The sequence below is a fragment of the Homo sapiens genome, chromosome 8 (genome assembly GCF_000001405.40).
Source record: "Homo sapiens chromosome 8, GRCh38.p14 Primary Assembly".
In the NCBI taxonomy this organism is placed as follows: domain Eukaryota; kingdom Metazoa; phylum Chordata; class Mammalia; order Primates; family Hominidae; genus Homo; species Homo sapiens.
This window is the reverse complement of record NC_000008.11, coordinates 79,104,651-79,128,127: the sequence shown is the minus strand read 5'-3', so window position 1 is coordinate 79,128,127 and position 23,477 is coordinate 79,104,651. Positions and strand designations below refer to the sequence as shown.

Here is a 23,477-nt window from a genome sequence, read left to right as displayed (position 1 = left end):
CTTATTATAATATAAAGCTGGTGGGGTCGATTTGAGAAATACAATTAGTGGCTGCTCTTGATTTATGTCATCAGAAACCCTTTATCCTCCAAAGAAGACAGACAAAAATTTCCCCTTAATTTATCACTTAATCTTTCAACAGCAACAACAATGCCTTGAGCTTCTGCTATGTGCTGGCACTGTAAGTACTGGGGATATGATAATAAAGACAGCCATTATTCTTATCTTTATTGAGCTTCAGTCTTTCAGGAAATTCTGCAATTTTAGAGGTATATAATGATGACACAGACATACAAACTGCTACAGAAATACGCCATGGGAGTAACTAATCTACTGGAAGTAGATTGCAAAATAAAGTAACATCTAATTTGAGATATAAAGAATGAGTAGTTAATGAGACAAGATGGAAATTATGATTATTTCAACAGAATGAGTGTTTAACTTCATGTTGAGATTTTCTTATCAAATAGGCTGGACTAGAAGTCTAATAAATCTTTTCCTACATGTTGCTAGAATTACACATCTGCATATCATCCCAGATGAGATACACCAATTTACCCAATGGTATGAAGGTCTGAAAAGAAGATTGAGTAAGATGCTTTTAGATACTTTTTAAAAGTTCAGTATGACTGGATTATATAAGGTGAGGTAGAGAGCAGTAGAATTGAAATTGAAGAAGTCAGCCAGTGCAAAATTAGAAAGGATCTTCAAACCTTTTTAAGGATTTCAGAAATCATTGCAAAGCAGCAGGAGGACAACTGAGTGCTGAAAGGAAGAAAGATTTGCCTTTTAGAATTATCAACAGGGCTTCGGTGAAAAAAAATAAATTTGAGAAAAGCAATACAAGAGTGAGAATAATAAGATAAAGACAATTATAAACAATGCTCCAAGGATGAGATAATAGTATCCTGGATGGTGAAAATGAAGAAACGTTAACAAATAGATTCTTATTTGTTAGAAGATGAAACTAATAAGCTTTAGCAGTTGGTTGAATGTAGGAATGAAGAGGAATGTCAAATGTGGCTTAGCTGTCTGGACATTTGATGCCTTTCATTGACATAGAAAACCTATGAACAAAAGCAAGTCAGGGAAAGATGAGCTTGATTTTTATTTTATTTTATTATACTTTAAGTTCTGGGATACATGTGCAGAATGTGCAGGTTTGTTACACAGGTATTCATGTGCCATGGTAGTTTGCTGCACCCATCAACCCATCATCTACATTAGGTATTTCTCCTAATGCTATCCCTCCCCTGGTCCCCCATCCCTCAGACAGGCAAAGTAACACAGGAACAGAAAACCAAACACCGCATGTTCTCACTTAAAAGTAGGAGTTGAACAATGAGCTTGATATTTTGCATCTTAAGTTTGTGGTTCTTGTGCTCAATACAAGAGGACATGTACAATAGGAATTTAGACAGACCATTGCCATAAATATGTGAGAGTCATCAATATAAGGAATAGTTGAGGTCTTGGAAATTGCTGAGACTATTCTCTAGAACTACATAGAGTGAAAGAAGGGGGACTAGAACAAAATTCGAGACACACTGATATTTATGGGATATTCAGAGAAATGGAGTTTTGCAAAGGTAAGTGAGGAACACTGGACATCTCCAAAGAGGAGTGATTAGCCAAGTTGGAATTCAGAAAGTCACAAGTAAAAGAGTGTTTGAGAATAAGGGAGTGTCTATACTTCCAGTAAAGTCTGACTCCTCACTTAAGGGATGTATTTTCATCTGACTAAGTAGTGGTTGTTTTTTGAGGTAGCAAAAATGTCTCTACTCACATAAGTCTATATTCATGAAAATAGAGGGAACTTAAGAGCAAAAATTAGAGATCAGAGGCAATATAGATGGAAAATTATAGATTGGAAGTTATGAAGTCCTAAAGTTTGAAGTTTAATAGAAATATTTAGGGGAACATTAGCAAATAACCAACCAGGGCATCCATTCAAATATTTGAAAAGCATTTTTTTTTTGCCTTCATCTAGTTGCTCTCATTTGAGTAAGGATGTATTAACATTTTCTTCTGTAAAGAGGAAAGAGGAGGTTTGTATATGGTAAGGTTGTGATTTTAATTAAGGTCAATATTCTAGTAGAATTTTTTTTATTTAGCTCAGACATCTTTATGAAACATTTTGGGTCAAAATTGTTATTCTAATTTCTATAATACAGGAATGTGAAGTTTCATACTTATTTAGTAAATATTTAATGAAGTGGTATGACAGTTCCTTTTACCATGATATTTCCTTGTATATAGTTAAACAACCTTCTAATAAGTTCATTCATTCAAATAATGAGTTTTTTACTGAGAAACTATTATGTACCAAGTACTGAGTTCTGTGAAACATAAAAGACAAGAATTCCTATCTCTGAGAAGCTTACATTTTGCTATAGGAAATAGATAATAAAAAATTAAGCACTAAAATATAAGAAAATTATGCATTACATTAAAAGATGATAACCGCTATTGGGAAAATAACAGAGTAAAGGAAAATAGGATTGCCAAGGGCAGGATGTAGATGGAATGTCATCCATGTGCTAGGCATTTGCTAGATGCTATTGACTTAGACATTCCTTGCCATCAACAGTCTAGAGATGAAGATATATAAGTAAACAGAACATTGTAGTTTGCTGTGACATCCATGCTGTACTACAGAAGCACAAAACAGGAGTGCCTAATCTAAGCTGGGGGCAAGTTCTAATTAAGGAAGACTTCCTGTGAAAGACAGCACCTTATCTCAGTCTTGAAGATGAGCAAAATTTGGCCAGGCAGCAAGAGGAATGAAGTACATCTTAGAGTTCAAATATATACATATATATATATATGTTGGCCCCTATTTCCAACACCTTTCCACTCCACAGTAGGTGGCAGTAACATGACCCTTACAAATTGGGCTCCTTGATTTACACGACAGAAGGTCAGTTTTAGCTCTTGCAGAGCACATCAATTCTTCTTTAACAAAGAAATGAGGCTATCTCTTCTCCAGCCATGAATTGATTGCAATGAAGCAATTGCCAAAATGTCTCTGAAAACATCAATTTTTTGAGCCTAATGAATATGTCATACATCCATTCCTCTAAACTAGTTCTTCATAAAGTGAGGTACCTAGACCACATTTTCAAAGCTCTCTCGGTGGTGCCATAATTTTGATAGCAGGCTAATATTTGAAAATTTCTTTGATCAATATCTATTATCTCTTGCAAAGCAGTTTCAAACATTGTCTATTTCCTTACCTAAGACTTCCTAAACACAAACCAGGAACCCAACACAATACAGTGCTATATTAATTCACTATCTAGAACAAGTAAATATCCAAATTAATGTTTACAATTTCTTCTGCTGTTAAACACTTCATCGTATGGACTCAGTCATCAATTTCTGTCACTTTTTGCCTTTCTCCATCTCCACCTTCACTTCCCTAGGTTAGATCCTAATCATTTTTGGCTAATCTGCTGAAATCATTTGTTCTCTGTGTTAGAAACAAGGGCTCGGAGTTGCAAAGAAAATGAGCACTCAAACAAAAGACTTCTTAGCAAGGCAAATTGCTTCTGCAGAATGGTGCTGCCTGCATCAGTCACAACAGCAAGAGCACACCGAACAAAGGAGGGAAGGGGTTTTTATCCCTAATGTGGTTAGTCACTGCCTCTGTGTCCTGTCCCCATTAGCTGGAGTCAGATGGCAAAATCTAAACTGACCTGATTGGCTACTGTTTAAAATTGAATCTGTCTCTTTAGGTGGGAAGGGAGAGGCTGTCTGTTATAGTACAAGGCATGTTTGGGCATGTCAGGGTGCGGCAAAGGCAGGAAGGGTAGTTTCAGCGGGAGGGGCGGTTTACAGAATGGGTAGCCAGGAGTAAAGAGGACTCTTTCCAAATAAAGAAGAGATGTGAGTTACAGATTGGGACTGGCGGGAGAAGTTGATTACAGAGCAGGTAGCTTAGGAGAAGGGACAAAGAAGCTGCTCTTGAGAACAAAGAACAAGGAAGTCAGAAATTAAACCTTTGAAGAGGAACTTACTGTATCTGACAATTCCCCCTCCTTTTGATTTTTATAATTCTTCCTCTTCAAACCTTTTTAACATGTCTTGACTCTGTTGTTCTGCTTGGTTTTCTATAAGTAGGAGCTTATCTGAATAAGGCAGGGGGGAATAGAAAAAGGTTTTAGCGAGAGCTGTTTCAATAAGCCTTTGTACTAGGCTTCAGGCACAGGGTATGATACAACATCCTACAAGAATAAGCACACCTATTACAATGGCAAGAGAAGTAAGGATTGAGGACATAAGTCCTTTCCATCTTCCAAACCATTTTTTCCATGAGATCAAAGAAATGGTCATTTACTCTAGAATTTTCAGCCAATTTATTTGCTAGGGTGGTAAGGCCCTGTAAAGCCTTTGTGATTGTTCCATTGGGGGCTGTGTTGTTAGGGATAAAAGTACAGCATTGGACTCCAATCATAACACAGACCCTGTCATTCTCAGGTAATATTATTTCCAGAGCTATTCTATTTTCCCAGGCTATTTGGCTGGTGGGGCCTAATTGTTCAGCTATCCCTTTTATGGCATCTCTAGTACAATTAATAAACTGCTATTGATTATAGTAAATGTGATTTATCCAGTCTACATTTTTTTTTTACAGTTACCCATGAAAACAATATAAATTCAAATCCTGTGGCTATTTGATTTCAGGTTTTAAATTCATTTGGCACCCTTCGTGCAACTCCAGTGGCATCCATATAAATGTGAGGGTCAAAGGACCCATGAAGGGCACTTCTTTTACGATTGTTCTTTTTGTTTGGTTGATAAAATGCCAGGGTGAAAGGGATGGCTAGTTGGATTTGAGCACAAGTGCTGCTTCAGTTACTTGGCAGAGTACCGAATAGTGGCTCACCACAATACCACTATACATCCGCTCTGGTATGAACAAAGGCAGACTGATTGGTTAGCTCTGAAAAGGCTTGGACTCACTGCATAACAATAGGCTTCCAAGGAATGCCAGATTTTCCCCTTGTCATGAGAGACACAAGGTAAAATTGACATTGTTAACCAGAAGCCAGATGACTCTTGGGGGCTGACCTGCAGGGCCTTTAACTTTTGGGAATAGCAGCGAGAGAGTTCAGCATGCCTTATTGCCCCTGGCTGTGGGTTCTTGGAAGAGAGCTACCATACAGCTTATACCCTGTTGGTCTGAGGACCATCCAAGTGGAAAGGGAACAATTTGGGCTTCTGGCCTGCCCATTGCACAAGCATAACAATTGCTCTTATTTAGGGTGCGAACAGAATATTTAATCCATTCCAGCCAGGCATTTACATCTTGATGCCAAGTTTCTATGGCTAGGGTTTGCTTTAAGTCCTTGGCTTCTACTGCAACTACTTTGGTTTTGTCATTGGGTAAGAAACAAGAAATGGAAATAGTTTAATTTGGTGGGCTTGGGGAAGGAGTAGTTGGAGGGGGGAGAAACAAAGAGCATTTCAAAGAAGCCTATGGGTTTTTTTTCCAGTGACATCTGCTCCTAGACCATATAGAGTTGCCAGAGAAAGGGATAGTAATGGAGAATAAAATGGGGGGCGGTTAAGGGAAAGAGAAGAGGAAAAAGAGGCAGACAAATTAGGCTTTTCTTTTTAATGTTACTCTCGTGGGAGCCGGCCCTGGGACAATGGTCCATGGTTTTGGAGAGGGTGAGCCTTCTTGACTCAGGTATGACAGTTCCACCCTTTTTCAGCAGTTTGGACTTCTATCTCAGTTGTGAGGAGCACCAGGTAAGGTCCTTCCCAGGTGGGCTCGAGTTTTCCCTCTCTCCAACTTCTGACAAGGACATAATCTCCAGGCTGGTGTTGATGAACTGGGAATTCAAGGGGTGGAATCTGCACTAGGAGGCCTTGAGTCCTGACTGAGGAAAGGGTGAAGGGTAGACCAAATATGTAGTTTTTGAGATTGGGAACAACAGGGTTGGTGGTTTGAACTATTTGATTAATAGCCCATAGGTCTTGTACTAACCAGTATGACCTGTCCCATTTCCTTACAGGCAATACGGGAGTGTTATAAGAGGACCAACAGGGTTCAAGGAGTCCATCATGGACAAGGCTTTCAATTATAGGTTTTAAACCTATTCTAGCTTTTAAAGGAATAGGGTATTATTTTCTTTTTACTACTTCCCCAGGAATTTTTAACTTGACATGGATTGGAGGAAGCTGTAGCTTTCCTTAATTACCTTCTCTTGACCAGATACTGGGATGGATATACTTTTCATCTATAGTAGTAAGTTTAGAGAGGTGAGAAATTTTCCCTGGTTAATATAGAGGCCTAAACCTAATTCTAGTATTAAATCTCTCCGTAATAGGTTTGTTCCTGCCTCTGGAATTAATAGAAACTTAATATTAACTGATTTGTTTATATATATAACTTTTGTTTCTTTTAAGATCTTTGCTTTAAATCCTTCTCTTTTTACTCCTGAGATATGAAGTTCTTCTTGTGAACAAATTACATCTGATGGGGGATAACAAACAGAAGAGCGAGCCACCCCTGAGTCAATTAAAAAAAGTAATAAGCTCAGAGTTGGGTCCCACCTCTAAATTTATCAAGGGCTTTTGGTGGGACCAGAGGTAGAAAAGACAGAGCCTCTGACCCCCGTATTCTTCCTCAAAAACCATAAGGGGGATGGCTTCCTTTTCTATTTCCCACTTAAGGCATTCTCTTTAAAGTGCCCTATTTTTCCACATTTGAAACATTCGTTTTGTCCTTTTCTCCTTTTTATTTCCTGGCCTTCCTGCTTGATTCCTTTGCCTCTTGTGTAGGATCTGGCAGCCTGGTTCTTGGAAGGCTTACAGGCTCTATTTCCCTGGGCTCCCTGTTGAAGAGCACCCTGTTGTAGGGTGGACAGCATAATTTTTGCATTTTGCTTCTGCCTTTCCTCATCCCTCCATACATACACCTTTTGGGCCTTTCTTAAAAGTTCCTCTATGGGATGGTCTTTCCAATTCTCTGTTTTCTGTAATTTTCTTATAAAATCTGGCCAACTGTTGGTGACAAAGTGGAGTTTTAACATTCCTTGTTCCAGGGGGTTTTCTAATTTTAGGCCAGCTTACTTTCTCTTTTGCTCCTCAAGCCTCTCTAAGGACTCTACAGGTCCTTCATCCTTTCCCTGCTGTATATTAAAGGCTTTGGTAATATTCTGGGTGTGGGGCATCAAGTCTCTAATTTCTTTAGTTATCATTTCCCTTAGATCTCTCGTATTTCCTCAGTGGGCTATTGGAGGGAATTTTATTGTCTTTTTTTTTTTTTTTTTTTTCTGCTTTGCTTGGGGTATTTCCCATCCTGGAAGTTTTAGGTGTTTCCCAGAGTTTTCTGAGTCTATGGGACCCAACCTCTCTTACTAGAGATTTCTTGCAACTTTTTCCCTGGAGACTCTGTGGGGCTCAACCTCTCCTACTAGAGATTTCTTGCACCATTTTCCCTGGAGCCTCAACCCCCACGAGTGGAAATTTCTTGCACTCCCCTACTTTCACTTCACACTCAGTTGTGTGTCTCAATCACACACTTTTAACCTCCAGGATGTCTCAACCACCAAGGAAGTACTTCCCTGCCCCCACGGCTTTTCTTACATTGGTCTGTGCACAGAGTTACCTGATCACTGTGGCATTTATAGGCCTCCTCTTCCTGCGTTGCTGAGAGTCTGTGTTTATTCGTCACACTGGGTGGGTCCAGATTCCTTACCCCTGAGGCCACCACAGTGAGGCAGCAGGATGTGTCTCCTCACGAGAGGTGATTAGAGACCCTTCCCCAGAGGAGAATGGGATCTGGGACAGGTCCCCAAATTGTTAGAAACAACAGCTCAGAGTCACAAAGAAAATGAGCACTCAAACAAAAGACTTCTCAGCAAGGCAAATTTACTTCTGCAGAAGGGTGCTGCCTGTGTCAGTCACGACTGCAAGAGCACACCGAACAAAGGAGGGAAGGGGGTTTTATCCCTAACAGGGCTAGTCCCTGCTTCTGTGTCCTGTCCCCATTTGCTCGAGTTGGACAGCACAATCTAAACTGACCCAATTGGCTACTGTTTAAAATTGAATATGGCAAGTTAGGTGGGAAGGGAGAGGCTGTCCTTTATGGTACAGGGCATGTTTGGGCCTGTCAGGGCACGGCAAAGGCAGGAGAAGGGTAGTTTCAGCGGGAGGGGCAGTTTACAGAATGGGTAGCCAGGAGTAAAGAGGACTCTTTCCAAATAAGGAAGAGATGTGAATTACAGATTGGGACTGGCGGGAGAAGTTGTTTACAGAGCAGGTAGCTTAGAAGAAGGGACAAAGAAGTTGATCTCGAGAACAAAGAACAAGGAAGTCAGAAATTAAACCTTTGAAGAGGAACTTACTGTATCTGACATCTGTGTCCTCTACCTCCAATCTAGCTCAAATTCATTTTCCTTTCTGATATGAAAGTGATATATTTGAAATGAAAATCTGTCAATGTTAACCTCCTGCTTAAAGCTGTCATTGATGTCTTGTTACCTACAGGATAAAGTTTTAGTTTGTTATATGACTGAGGAAATTAACTGTGATCTGTCATTTTCTGTCTCCCCAGAATCATCTACAGCTGTCCCAAACTTACCCCAACCAAATCCTCTGCTAGGGTCGTGTAGCAATATGCACTGTGGAATTTAAACACAAATACACACACACACATACACAGCCCCCACCAAAGCATCACCTATGAGATTAAGCCCAGACACAAGTATTTCTTTAAAATTTCAGTTAATGTCACACCACTGTTCTAGTAACAGTGTGCTATTGGAAGGTCCTGGCCCCCTACCTGGCTCACTTACACTTCAGAGTTTTTGACATTCTTTTCCCTAGGCCTGAAATGCTATTTCTCTCATTATTCCCTTTCTTCACATGGCAACTCCTCATCTTTCAAGGATAGGATTACACATTATTTCCTGGAGTATGCATTTCTTCTTTGTCTCCTTGCCCCATGCTATTAGATGTCTGTGTTCGTGTGCTTGCAAAGCATCCCAGTTAAAGTTCTATGTTATTATTTCTGCCATAGCATTACAATGACTAAAAGTATCAGTCTTATTTTAGACTATAAATTCTGCTATTGCGGAGATTGCAGATTTGTTTTGTTTTTGAAACTTTTAAAAAAGGTAGAAGGAAAATAGGCAATTTGATTTAAAGTGAACAATTGGAAGGAACAGACTTTTCAGACCTGATTAATAGGATTTTAGGAAAAAAATATTATAAAATATTTCTAGTTACCAAATTATTATCTCTGCAGATGTTTATATCATTAAGAGATATTTATTATTATATACTTTATATATATGTACTGATAGACACACAAAGTTGCTAATATGTGTTGAATGCCTTTTATGTACCAGGCACTGTGCTAAATGTATTACCCATATTATCTCACAGTAGTCTCTTAATAATCCTACTAGGGGTTATGATTATTATTTACTATTTTTCAGATGGGATTGCTGAAGATTTGAGAGGTTGGGATACTTGCACATGATACAAAGTTGACCCACTTTATATAAATACAAAATCATTGTGGAAAATGAATGGTTTCCCTGTGCCAATATTCATTATGCAACTGAAGAGACTAGCTGTAACTAATTGTATTTGAAGGTACTTTAGCTTGGAAGCTCCAATGTAGTTCATGATTTTTATAAAGCCAAACTAACAAAAAAAACCAGATTCATATTTCTGGTTTTTATTTCACACTCTAGTGTTAAAATAACAGTAAAAATGTTATCTTTTGAGAAATATTGAACAAAAATCATTTATTTCTTTGTCCTCAAAGTTTAATTTTCTCTATGAATGAGACTTTACTGAGGATGTTTAAATATTGTTTAAAAATACCGTAAATAGGGTAAAACATGAAATATGCATCAGAAGCTACATTGTTGTAAAATCAAATTATTATATCTTATTTAACTTTTTAAATTTTTAATTATTATAGTTGTAAAGTTATTTCTCGTAAAAATGTAGGCATCACAGGTGAAAAATGCTAAAAAAATTACTAGAATTAGCATTGTTTTAGTACTTTATTATTTTATTTTATTTTATATTACTTATTATACTTTAAGTTTTAGGGTACATGTGCACAACTTGCAGGTTTGTTACATATGTATACATGTACTGTGTTGGTTTGCTGCACCCATTAACTAGTCATTCACATTAGGTATTTCTCCTGATGCTATCCCTCCCCTGTTCCTCCAGCCCATGAAAGGCCCTGGTATGTGATGTTCCCCACCCTGTGTCCAAGTGTTCTCATTGTTCAGTTCCCACCTATGAGTGAGAACATGTGGTGTTTGGTTTTCTGTCCTTGCGATAGTTTGCTCACAATTATGGTTTCCAGCTTCATCCATGTTGCTACAAAGGACATGAACTCATCCTTTTTTCATGACTGCGTAGTATTCCATTGTGTATATGTGCCACATTTTCTTAATCCAGTCTATCACTGATGGACATTTGGGTTGATTCCAAGTCTTTGCTATTGTGAATACTGCCACAATAAACATACATGTTCATGTGTCTTTATACTAGCATGATTTATAATCCTTTGGGTATATACCCAGTAATAGGATCACTGGGTCAAATGGTATTTCTAGTTCTAGATCCTTGAGGAATCGCCATACTGTCTTCCACAATGATTGAACTAGTTTACACTCCCACCAACAGTGTAAAAGCATTCCTATTTCTCCACATCCTCTCCAGTACCTGTTGTTTCCTGACTTTTTAATGATTGCCATTCTAACTGGTGTGAGATGGTATCTCATTGTGGTTTTGATTTGCATTTCTCTGATGACCAGTGATGATGAGCATTTTTTCATGTGTCTGTTGGCTGCTTAAAAGTCTTCTTTTGAGAAGTGTCTGTTCATATCCTTTGCCTACTTTTTGATGGGATTCTTTGTTTTTTTCTTGTAAATTTGTTTAAGTTCTTTGTGTATTCTGGATATTAGCCCTTTGTCAGATGGGTAGATTGCAAAAATTTTCTCCTATTCTACAGGTTGCCTGTTCACTCTGATGATAGTTTATTTTGCTGTGCAGAAGCTCTTTAGTTTAATTAGATCCCATTTACCAGTTTTGGCTTTTGTTGCCATTGCTTTTGGTGTTTTAGTCATGAAGTCTTTGCCCATGCCTATGTCCTGCATGGTATTGCCTAAGTTTTCTTCTAGGGTTTTTATGGTTTCAGGTCTGCATTTAAGCTTTTAATCCATCTTTAATTATTTTTTGTATAAGGTGTAAGGAAGGGATCCAGCTTCAGCTTTCTATATATGGCTAGCCAGTTTTCCCAGCACCGTTTATTAAATAGGGAATGATTTCCCCACTTCTTGTTTTTGTCAGGTTTGTCAAAGATCAGGTGGTTGTAGATGTGTGATGTTATTCCTGAGGCCTCTGTTCTGTTCCATTCATCTATTTCTTTGTTTTGGTACTAGTACCATGCTGTTTTGGTTACTGTAGCCTTGTAATATAGTTTGAAGTCAGGTAGCGTGATACCTGCGGCTTTGTTCTTTTTGCTTAGGATTGTCTTGGCAATGTGGGCTCTCTTTTGGTTCCACATGAACTTTAAAGTAGTTTTTTCCAATTCTGTGAAGAAAGTCATTGGTAGCTTGATAGGGATGGCATTGAATCTATAAATTACCTTGGGCAGTATTGCCATTTTGACGATATTGATTCTTCCTATCCATGAGCATGGAATGTTCTTCCATTTGTTTGTGTCCTCTTTTATTTTGTTGAGCAGTGGTTTGCAGTTCTCCTTGAAGAGGTCCTTCACATCCCTTGTAAGTTGGATTCCTAGGTATTTTATTCCCTTTGTAGCAATTGTGAATGGGAGTTCACTCACAATTTGACTCCCTGTCTGTATGTTATTGGTGTATTGGAATGCTTGTGATTTTGCACATTGATTTTGTATCCTGAGACTTTGCTGAAGTTGCTTATGAGCTTAAGATTTTGGGCTGAGACGATGGGGTTTTCTAAATGTGCAATCATGTCATCTGCAAACAGGGACAATTTGACTTCCTCTTTTCCTAATTGAATGCCCTCTATTTCTTTCTCCTGCCTGATTGCCCTGGCCAGAACTTCCAACAGTGTGTTGAATAGGAGTGGTGAGAGAGGGCATCCCTGTCTTGTGCCAGTTTTCAAAGGGAATGCTTCCAGTTTTTGCCCATTCAGTATGATACTGGCTGTGGATTTTTCATAAATAGCTCTCATTATTTTGAGATACGTCCCATCACTACCTAGTTTATTGAGAGTTTTTAGCATGAAGCGCTGTTGAATTTTGTTGAAGGCCTTTTCTGCATCTATTTAGATAATCATATAGTTTTTGTCTTTGGTTCTGTTTATGAGATGGATTACGTTTATTGATTTATGTATGTTGAACAAGCCTTGCATCCCAGGGATGAAGCGAACTTGATCTTGGTGGATAAGCTTTTTGATGTGCTGCTGGATTCAGATGCCAGTATTTTATTGAGGATTTTCGCATCGATGTTCATCAGGGATATTGGTCTAAAATTCTCCTTTCTTTGTTGTGTCTCTGCCAGGCTTTTGTATCAGAATGATGCTAGCCTCATAAAATGAGTTAGGGAGGATTCCCTCCTTATGACTGGAATAGTTTCAGAAGGAATAGTACCAGCTCCTCTTTGTACCTGTGGTAGAATTCGGCTGTGAATCTGTCTGGTCCTAGACTTTTTTTGGTTGGTAGGCTGTTAATTATTGCCTCAATTTCAGAGCCTGTTATTGGTCTATTCAGCGATTCAACTTCTTCCTGGTTTAGTCTTGGGAGGGTCTATGTGTCCAAGAATTTATCCATTTCTTCTAGATTTTCTAGTTTATTTGCGTAGAGGTGTTCATAGTATTCTCTGATGGTAGTTTGCATTTCTGTGGCATCGGTGGTGATGTCCCCTTTATCATTTTTTATTGCGTCTCTTTGATTCTTCTCTCTTTTCTTCTTATTAGTCTTGCTAGCAGTCTGTCAATTTTGTTGATCTTTTCAAAAAACCAGCTCCTGGATTCTTGATCTTTTGAAGGGTTTTTTATGTCTCTATCTCCTTCAGTTCTGCTCTTAGTTATTTCTTGCCTTCTGCTAGCTTTGAATGTGTTTGCTCTTGCTTCTCTAGTTCTATTAATTGTGATGTTAGGGTGTCAAATTTAGATCTTTCCTGCTTTCTCTTGTGAGCATTTAGTGCTATAAATTTCCCTCTACACACTACTTTAAATGTGTCCCAGAGATCCTGGTACATTGTGTCTTTGTTCTCATTGGTTTCAAAGAACATCTTTATTTCTGCCTTCATATCGTTATTTACACAGTAGTCATTCAGGAGCAGGTTGTTCAGTTTCCATGTAGTTGTGTGGTTTTGAGTGAGTTTCTTAATCCTGAGTTCTAATTTGATTGCACTGTGGTCTGAGAGACAGTCTGTTGTGATTTCTGTTCTTTCACATTTGCTGAGGAGTGCTTTACTTCCAAGTATGTGGTCAATTTTAGAATAAGTGTGATGTGGTGCTGAGAAGAATGTATATTCTGTTGATTTGGGGTGGAGAGTTCTGTAGATGTCTATTAGGTCTGCTTGGTGTAGAGCTGAGTTCAAGTCCTGGATATCCTTTTTAACCTTCTGTCTCATTGATCTGTCTAATATTGACAGTGGAGCATTAAAGTCTCCCATTACTATTGTGTGGGAGTCTCTTTGTAGGTCTCTCAGGACTTGTTTTATGAATCTGGGTGCCCCTGTATTGGTTGCATATATATTTAGGATAGTTAGCTCTTCTTGTTGAATTGATCCCGTTACTATTATGTAATGGCCTTCTTTGTCTCTTTTTATCTTTGTTGGTTTAAAGTCTGTTTTATCAGAGACTAGGATTGCAACCCCTGCTCAAAATAAAGGGATGGAGGAAGATCTACCAAGCAAATGGAGAGCAAAAAAAAGCAGGCGTTGTTTTAGTACTTTATATAAAGACATCTGATACATAGTATATGTTCAATAAATAATTTGTTGGGTTAAACCAGATTGGGAAGTTTATTTTAGTGCATTTTACTGAATTGCTATGGTTACATCTCTTCACCCCACTGGACTAGATGGTCTTTGGAGCTATATGTCATATTGTATCTATCTTCATATTCCTTCATATGAAACCCAATGAATAGAAGGTATTTAGTATATACTTATTAATGTAACAGGCCACAAACTTTTAGGTGTCAACACCCCATTGCACTCTTAAAAATTATTTACTACCCTCGAAGTCTCTATTTATGTGGGTTATAGTTAGATATATGTACCATACTAGAAATCAAAATTGAGTTTTTAAAAATAAATTGATTAGTATTTTAAAATAAAAATAATAGACTCACTACATGTTATCTTAAATTGATACCTAATATCATGAAAAATCACCATATTTTCCAAAGCAAAACAACTTGATGATAACAGTCATTGTTTTCATTTTTCACATTTCTTTAATATCTAGTTTAGCAGATATAAAATAGGTAGAATAATCTGGCTTTTCATATCTGCCTGTGCATTCAATCTTTTTTGATATGTTGTTTGAGTTGCATAATATTTTTATGGACTTTAGAGAAAACTGTGGCTGTTCTTGCTTACTGTATCAAAATTCAATTAGTAGTTTCTTAATAGTTCATTGCAATGTAGAATTTGAGTTCATATCAGTAAACTTTTGTACTCTGTTACATTAAAACCTATGCTAGATATTGAATTTTGAAAAGATCTTCTATCCATGCATTGTTTTGCAATACCATCTATTAATAATTTTGAAAACTTTTATCCACTTAGTAATGTTGATCTTCCAAATGTTGATATATTTTGTCACACATTTTTTTTTAATCACATTTGTTAATTTCACCAATGATCTCAACCAAAAGTCTTCAGGAAGCTGTCGGTGGTAGATATACATTTTCCAAATTTCTATTTTAGCTTGAAAGCTGTAATTTTATTATTGACATCAAAGAATGTCTATTGTTTTCCCTGAAGTAAAAATCTTACTTTACTTATTGCTGCCCCAAACGCAAGTCTATATATCCATAGTTTGTCTGTTATTCACTCTTTAAGTAAAAGTGGTTAGCCAGTTAAGTTGGTAATTCAAACAATTTCATTTTTTTTAAATCAAGATAACCATAAAACTTAAATATGCAGCTGGAGTTTTTTTTCATACTCTCCATTTTGTCATAGAGAATGTGAAAAAAATACATGCACAGGAGGGTAGAAATTTAATAAAATTATTAATTTGCTTTGTCATCAAAGGAATTCTTAGGTGAAACAGGCGCATATGCATATACACATACACAAACACACACACACGTATATATATTTTATATATATATGTTATATATACTTTTCCGATGAATGTTTAAAGATGAAGAATATGATGATTTGAACATCACTATCTTGACTGGAGTGAAAGCACCAGCACTTTTACCCAGCATTGTTTTGTACCCTTAATGCAAATGTCAATATAGTGAAGAAAGCAAGTAACATCCTAGTATTATGATGAAATAGGGCATTTTTGTGGATGAAATAATTTTAGAGACTCCCAGGTATTAATAAAACCATAAAACAAGTTCTTTTATGTAATTATTGGGGAAACATAAACCTAATTTTAGTTTATGCTGCCTTATGCAGAATTTGCTGAAAAAGTTTCTAATTTTAAAGATAAAATCTGTGATCTTCACAGATTTTTACACAAATCAAGCAAAAGTGTTGCTAATAAAAGTATTGTTATTACAGTTAGGCTCAAGTCTCTAAGCAAACAACAATTTCTGTTTATTCTACTTCAAAAATAGCTCTGATACATACATAGATTATTCTTCTATCTCTTCTTCTAGCCACCTAAACCAAGCTGCAATATGTAACTTCTGAACTATTATGTTTGCTCCCTAAATATTTTATCTATTGATGTACTTATTCATACAAAATATATTCTTCATAGTAGACAGAGTGATCTAAAAATATAAATCAGATCTAATAAACTCCTTTCCAAAAATCCTCCAGTGGCTTTCGGCTACCAATTGAAGAAAATTCAACTTTCTTGCCATCTCCCACATATTTACATTAGTGCCTTTGTCTCTGACCTCATGTTATACCAGTATTGCCCTCATTCACTATTTGCCAGCTGTCTTACTGAACTTTCTGTTCTTCAAACTGACTCCTTATAGTCTAGAAGAATGTTAAGCACATATAAGATGCTCAGTAACCACTGGTTGACATAATAAATGTGTTGCTTTGAACAATTATGGTAAAAAAGAGCCTTAATCTGATATGAGTTCATTTTAACAGTCTTATGGTCTGAAACCAAGGACAGTGCCGAATAGGCTTTATTTAAAAATATGTATATATTAGGTTGGTACAAAAGTAATTGTGGCTTTTGCATTGTTGGAATTTGCTGTTTGATATTGGAATACATTCTTAAATAAATGTGCTTATGTTATACATCATTTTAATGGGCATTTCCCGCTTGATGTTTTTCTGCTAATGACTTATTACTTGCTGTTTATTTTATATTTATTTTAGACTATGGAAATTATGTTAGACAAAAAGCAAATTTGAGTGATTTTCTTATTCAAGTTCAAAATGGGTTGTAAAGCAGCAGAGACAACTTGTAACATCAACAAAATATTTGACCCAGGAGCTACTAACATACAGTGCAGTGGTGGTTTAAGAAGTTTTGCAAAGGAGATGAGAGCCTTAAAGATGAGCGTATTTGGAAGTTGGCAATGACCAGTTGAGAGCAATCATCGCATCTGATCCCCTTACAACTACACAAGAAGTTGCTGAAGAACTCAACAGTGACCATTCTACAGTCATTTGACATTTGAAGCAAATTGGAAAGGTACGAAAGCTCGATAAGCTGGTGCCTTATGAGCTGAGCAAAAATAATAAAAAAATTTGGTTCTGAAGTGTCGTCTTCTCTTATTTTATGCAATCATTTCTCGATTGGATTGTGACATGCAACAAAAAGTGGATTTTATATGACAACCGGTGATGGCCAACTCAGTGGCTGGACTGAGAAGAACCTCCAAAGCACTTCCCAAAGCCAAACTTGCACCAAAAGAAAGGTCATGGTCACTGTTTGGTGGTCTGCTGCTGGTCTGATCCACTATAGCTTTCTGAAATCTGGTGAAACCATTACATCTGAGAAGTATGCTTAGCAAATCAATGAGCTGCACCAAAAAGTGCAACGCCTACAGCCAGCATTGGTCAACAGAAAGGGCCCAATTATTCTCCACAACAATGCCCGACCGCACGTCACACAACCAACACTTCAAAAGTTGAATGAATTGGGCTATGAAATTTTGCCTCATCCACCATATTCACCTGACCTCTCACCAACTGACTACCACTTCTTCAAACACTTTGACAACTTTTTGCAGGGAAAACCCTTCCACAACCAGCAGGATGGAGAAAATGCTTTCCAAGAGTTCATCAAATCACAAAGCATATATTTTTACGCTACAGGAATAAACAAACTTATATCTTGTTGGCAAATATGTGAGGATTGTAATGGTTCCTATTTTTATTAATAAAGATGTGTTTGATTTAGTGATTTAAAACTCATGGTCTAAAACTGCAATTACTTTTGCACCAACCAGAATATGCTCATGATGTCATGTATAGACAGTGCCACTAACATTAAACTCCTACAATGGGGCAGTTTAGAGACATAGAACTTAAATTTTTTTGCCTACAGTCACACTAGTGAAAATCTGACAAAATCTCTAAATCCTCCCCTCAAGAAGAAAATAAAGCACATCTGTACAATATTTGAAATGTAATGTCAGGGAATTTACAGACACCTTATAGTCCATCCATGGATTACAGAAAAAGCCTGTAGACTTCAAGATGTCCTAAAGCTACATACTAATTGAAAGACAAATTTTACAACAGGTAAACCATTGCTGAGTATCTTGGGACTGAAAAAGATTACAAATACTTCAACCGAGAACTAGAGGGACTTCAAGATCATCTGATCAATATTATAAAATGTAAAAGTTTAGAGATCATCTTCAGGTCCAAACCTTTCATTCTTATTGATATGGTTTGGCTGTATATCCACCCAAAATCTTATCTTGAATTGTAATCCTCATAATCCCCATAATGCCCATGTGTCAAGGGAGAGACCAGGAGGAGGCAATTGAATCATGGGGGTGGTATCCACCATGCTGTTTTGATGATGGAGAATGAGTTGCCAAGAGGTCTGATAGTTTATAAGGGGCTCTTCTGCCTTCACTGAGCACTTCTACCCGTCGCTTCGTGAAGAAGCTGTGAAGAAGGTACCTTGCTTCCCCTTCATCTTCCGCCATGATTGTAAGTTTCCTGAGGCCTCCCCAGTCATGCTGAACTGTAAGTCAATTAAACCTCTTTCCTGTATAAATTACCCAGTCTCAGGAAGCTCTTTATAGCAGTATGAAAACAGACTAATACACTTATCATGGGAAATATGGAGAGGACCAAAGGTTTAAAGTGATTTACTGCCATCGACAATGCATGTTAATGACAGAGCTGTTAAAGGATTCTACATCTTTCGAATCCACATCTTTGCTTTACCACTGCATGAGGCTCCATTTATGTTGGGGAGTTTTGATGAAAAATGCAACTTCAACTGGAATTACTGGTGCAATTGCAATATCACCTGTAAAAGACTTGGCCTCACATGAAGCCTGCTTGATAATTTCTCTAGATCTTTTGCATGTATCATCAGAAGTCACAAAATAATTTTTATGTATACCATATTATATCTATATATACACCCATATATATATATATATATAATTTATGACATAGATATGAAATACCACACAGAGTCTAGAGAAATACTACAAAGGTCTAGAAAAATTATGTGTCTGCATATACTATTACAGAATATATGTCTCAAATATATACCAGAAATATGTGTGTGTATATATATGCATGCACACATTCCAGATTACAAGGAAAAGTTGTGTAAGGGTCCAAGTCTTTAATTCACCCTTGATATGGAAAATTATATAACTGTATCTCATTGGAATGCATAAAAATGAGGAATAAGTAAGAGAAAGATATTTGCATCAACTGTATATCATATGGAGAAGAATTTCAGGCGTTCTGCCATTGGTTGTAAATATACAGCAGCCAAGGACATTTATTATGGGAAAAGCATTATCGTTAGAAGTGCTGTGCTTTGGAACATAGTGTTCAAAGTACATTTTTCTCCTGCCTTTCAGATGATTGCATTTTAAAGAATAATTCAACTAGATTTTTTTTGAAAATTAAATAATCATTGGGCAAACAGTGTTTATACTGGCTGCTTAATTATTATTCTAAAGCATTTTTGAAAATCAATACTTGATAAAGACATAGAGTAATAATGTTTTCCTAACTGGGTAGTTTAAAAAATGCTTTTGCCTGCATCTTTTCATTTGACCATCACAATAATCCTGTATGATAACTGGGAGTTATTTGTTTTCACTTTGAAGATAAATAAAAGTTATCATTGAGTGACTATATATCAAAATAGCATTACAAAAATCTATAATGCCTATTGTTGCTACTATAGTGGGGTAGTAAACAAAATGTAAACATTTATCTAAGAAGCTATTAAATATTTATTTTAAATAAAAAGAATTTTTTTCATATGGCAGACAGTAAATTATTGAAATGGAAGTTATCTAACTCCCCAAGTATAATTATAATCTATTCTTTAATATTATTGTTGATTTTTAAATAGTTTCAAATTAGAGCATAGCATTTCAGGTATTGGCTGAAATTTCAACCATGTGACTTCCACTAAAGACAATAAATGAATAGATATTTCCCAAAATAATTCCTTGTAAACAAACTAAGAGAAATGTACAAATTCTAAATGCATAAGTCTAAATCTTTATACATAGAGGGCATTAACTGAAATCTAATAAATGACTGGGGCTCTGCCACTTGGGATGTTGATGTTTTTTTTTTTTTTCGCTTTAACTACTCAAGAGAACTTTGTTTCTTTAGATTTGTATACATATATGGAAGAGGCAGACAGATGGAAAAGCAACTAATCACGAGGCTGTAATTATTATACACTTTCATTACTTCCTCCAAATGATGACCTCTCACCCTTGGGAAAAAAATGCCTCCTTTACTAGGGCTCCTACTTTGACAAAAAGATGAAGAAAAGCAAGATATTACCAGATCCTCAACTTCTGGCACTTTCTGGCACCCGTACAAGTCTAGAAAATTTCCAAGGAATTATTTTGGGAAGTATCTGTTTCATTAATTGTCTTTAGTGGAAGTCACATGGTTGAAATTTCAGCCAATACTTGAAATGCTATGCTCTAATTTGAAACTATGTTAAAATCAACAACAGTATTAAAGATTAGATTATAACTTTCTTTGAAGAGTTAGATAATTTTGATTCCAAGAATTTACAGTCTCCCGCATGAAGAATTTCCCTTTATTAAAAATAAACAGCTTGTTAGATAACTCAAAAATTATTTCTAATAACAGTATTGATATAGCCTAGATTATATAATTTAAAATAAGACGAAAATTCCCCTTACAGTACCAATAAAAGCAGATTTCTAAATTTGTTTAAAATATAACAAAAAGTTACAATACATAGGCATTATATAAAAGTCTCTAATTTTTTATATCAACGGTAAATTACACAGTAACCATTCTAGGTTAGGTTCACAAAGTATCATTTACTAAAAATGAATACTACAGTCACGTAAATTACATTTATTGATAGAATATTCCTAGCTCTAAAAATCAGACAGAACCTTGAGTTAGTCTGGATTTTATTCTAAGGACAACATGAAGTCATTTGGGACATTTAAACAGTGAGTATCCGGGAATGTGGCAAACTGCTAAGTTTATAGTCATGGCATGTATTCAGCTCCAGCCAGCTGCCTTACAAGAATATAGTTCAATTTCCCATGTTGCCAGATTTTTTTGATTTGCAAAAGAAGAATTTAAAATTTTTAAATTCTCAAGTGTTGGCAACCAATTAAGAAATCATTAAAAAGAAAAAACACTTGGTGGGTAAAGAGAACATGTCTCTAGGCTATATTTAACCAAAGGGTCACTTGTTTGCATCATCAGGGTTGAATTTGCATTTCTAGAAGTCTGGCCCTTTTCTTTTAGTAAAGGAAGACTGAAACCCACTTGGTGGAATATTTTTTCAGTGACACAGTTCTGTTTTGCTATTGGATGTACATCTTGTCCGATTACTGTTGTTTTCTGGTATAAGCTGCTTCTCCATTCTACATAGAGTATTATGTTTAGGGTCATCTCCCTTCCATCTAATGCTGAGTGATAGAGATAGAACACAGTATAGACAACTTTCTGTTGTCATTATTTCCCATTTCTTCATACCAGGTTAGGAATTAGGCATTGGTGTACACAAATCCATAATTTATGTCAATAAAACATAAAGAGAAAAGTTCAAAAATATGTTTAGGTTGGATTTCTATTCAAAGCCAAATAACTGTCTGTGCTGTTGCTATTGGGAGAGAAGTCCAGAAAATATGTGGTCAGCTAAAACATTTTAAGTTAGTTAGAAGATTGAAGTTACATTGATTTTGTTTCTGCTTTTTTTAAAATGTAAACCAGAGCTAGGGATCTCAATCTTCTGAAATATATGATACTCTTAAAATAACTTATGAATTATGTATGAATGGAAATAAGTTATTCCTTATCGCTGTCTGTCAAGTGCCTCACATAGTACTTGAGCTGTCACTTTAGGTGCTCAAAAATGTGCACTGACTCCATACATATCCCAAACAACTTGACTATAAGCTAATGGTGACCAAACTTACTTCAATGACAAGGTTTTACTTTGGAGATAAATATTTTCTTATTTATTTTAACACAAGCTTCTTCTCATTTATTTTACCAGGCCAAACACCCAGAATCACACTTGATTCTTCTCATTCTATTGCATATCCCACTTGCAATTAATAAGAAAATCCTACCAGCACTAATTTCCACATTTTATCTTGGAGCTGCTTCTCACCATCCCTGCCCGTTACCCTCCTAATCCAACCCATGATATTTTGTCTAGGATACTGCAATGAATTTACTATTTGATTTCCTTATTTCTCACTCTGCCCATAATCTATTTTCCGCACAGAAGTTAGAATGATCTATTTAAAACATAAAGCAAATCATGCTCTTCCCCTGATCAAAACACAAGCACTGGTGCAATGGTTTCGTATCACAAATTGAACAAACTCCAAATTCCCTAATATTGTCCTTGATGCTCTATGTAATCAGGTCCTTACCTAACTCTCTGATCTCATTTTTTACCATTATCTCTCTTGGTCACAGTGGTTTGACAATTTAGTCACCTTATTGTTTGTCAAACATTCCAAGCTTATTACTGGCTCTTAACTTCGCATTTGTTCTTCGTTTGCCTAGACCATGCTTCTCCAAGACATTTTCATAATTCATTCCACTTTCCTTTAATAACACCAAGCTATTACTCCCCAAAGTGCCTTTCTTGATTTCCTCATCTGGTAACATGTACTGTTTACTCCCATAACCTTATTTGTTTCTTTCCTGGTACACGTCACAATCAGAAATAATATTTTGTGTTTGTTTAATCTTTAACTATCTTTATCCCTAATGAGAATAGAGGTGTTTTGACACTAAGGATCTCATGTGTCTCGATTCCTGATGTACCTATAGAGAAGATTCTGGTAAAGATATATTGAATTGAATTTATTTTAAATGCAGTTATCTTTGATAAGATTTGTAACAACAAGACTCTAATTGTTTTAGCAGTGGACCATATTTACATTGATAAATTAGGAAGGTCGAAGAGAAATATAAAATCCAGTATTAACCTTCATGTCCTTAAAATTCTGTCACAATTTCTACATCAAACACACAAAACACTCAGTCTTATAAAGTAGGGGAAAATAGAATAGGCAAGAGTAAATAGGTATAATTATTCCTAGGAGAAAAGAAAAAGAAAAAAAGCAGTTTTATTCAAATTTCTTTGGCATTAGGAACAGAACATTTCTTTATGCCGTAGAGAATAATGTGAATAATTCTCTGGCTACCAATTTGGAAATCTTAAAAAAAATCAATTAGTTGTCTTTTAGATGAGCAATAAAGTATTTTTTGTCCCCCTCCAAAAGTCAATCCCAATATTGTTTTTCTCTTGTAAATATTGTGGTCTCAATACTCTGCTGCCACCCCACGAGGTGGCTGTAATTAGGGTGAAGAAACTGAATATAAATAATATTTAAGAACTTCTGTAGTTGTCTATCAGAATACTTTGATTCAAAGCCGTATTTTCATTTTAAGTCTTTTGCTTTTTGCCTCTAATGCTAAGAATGTTTCAGGTCATTTGTCTGTAAAGATGACTTATTTTTATAACTCATTTATATGTATTTCCATAACTTTTATGATTGTTCTATGTAACTCACATTTTTTAAAAGTCAAGTTGGCTAGAAGTAGCCAAAAGCCATCAAAAAGCACTAAAAAACTTTGCCGGTGAAAAATGTTATT

The 23,477-nt window shown here is 36.2% G+C and overlaps 1 annotated feature.

Moving 5' to 3' along the window:
* Window positions 7,315-8,514: an enhancer, noted in NCBI's record as "P300/CBP strongly-dependent group 1 enhancer chr8:80031849-80033048 (GRCh37/hg19 assembly coordinates)". NCBI's record gives its function as "activates an origin of replication core promoter dependent on BRD2, BRD4, P300/CBP, MED14 and CDK7 cofactors, with strong dependence on P300/CBP, by STARR-seq in HCT116 cells {active_cell/tissue: HCT116}" and the evidence as "EXISTENCE:reporter gene assay evidence [ECO:0000049][PMID:35650434]".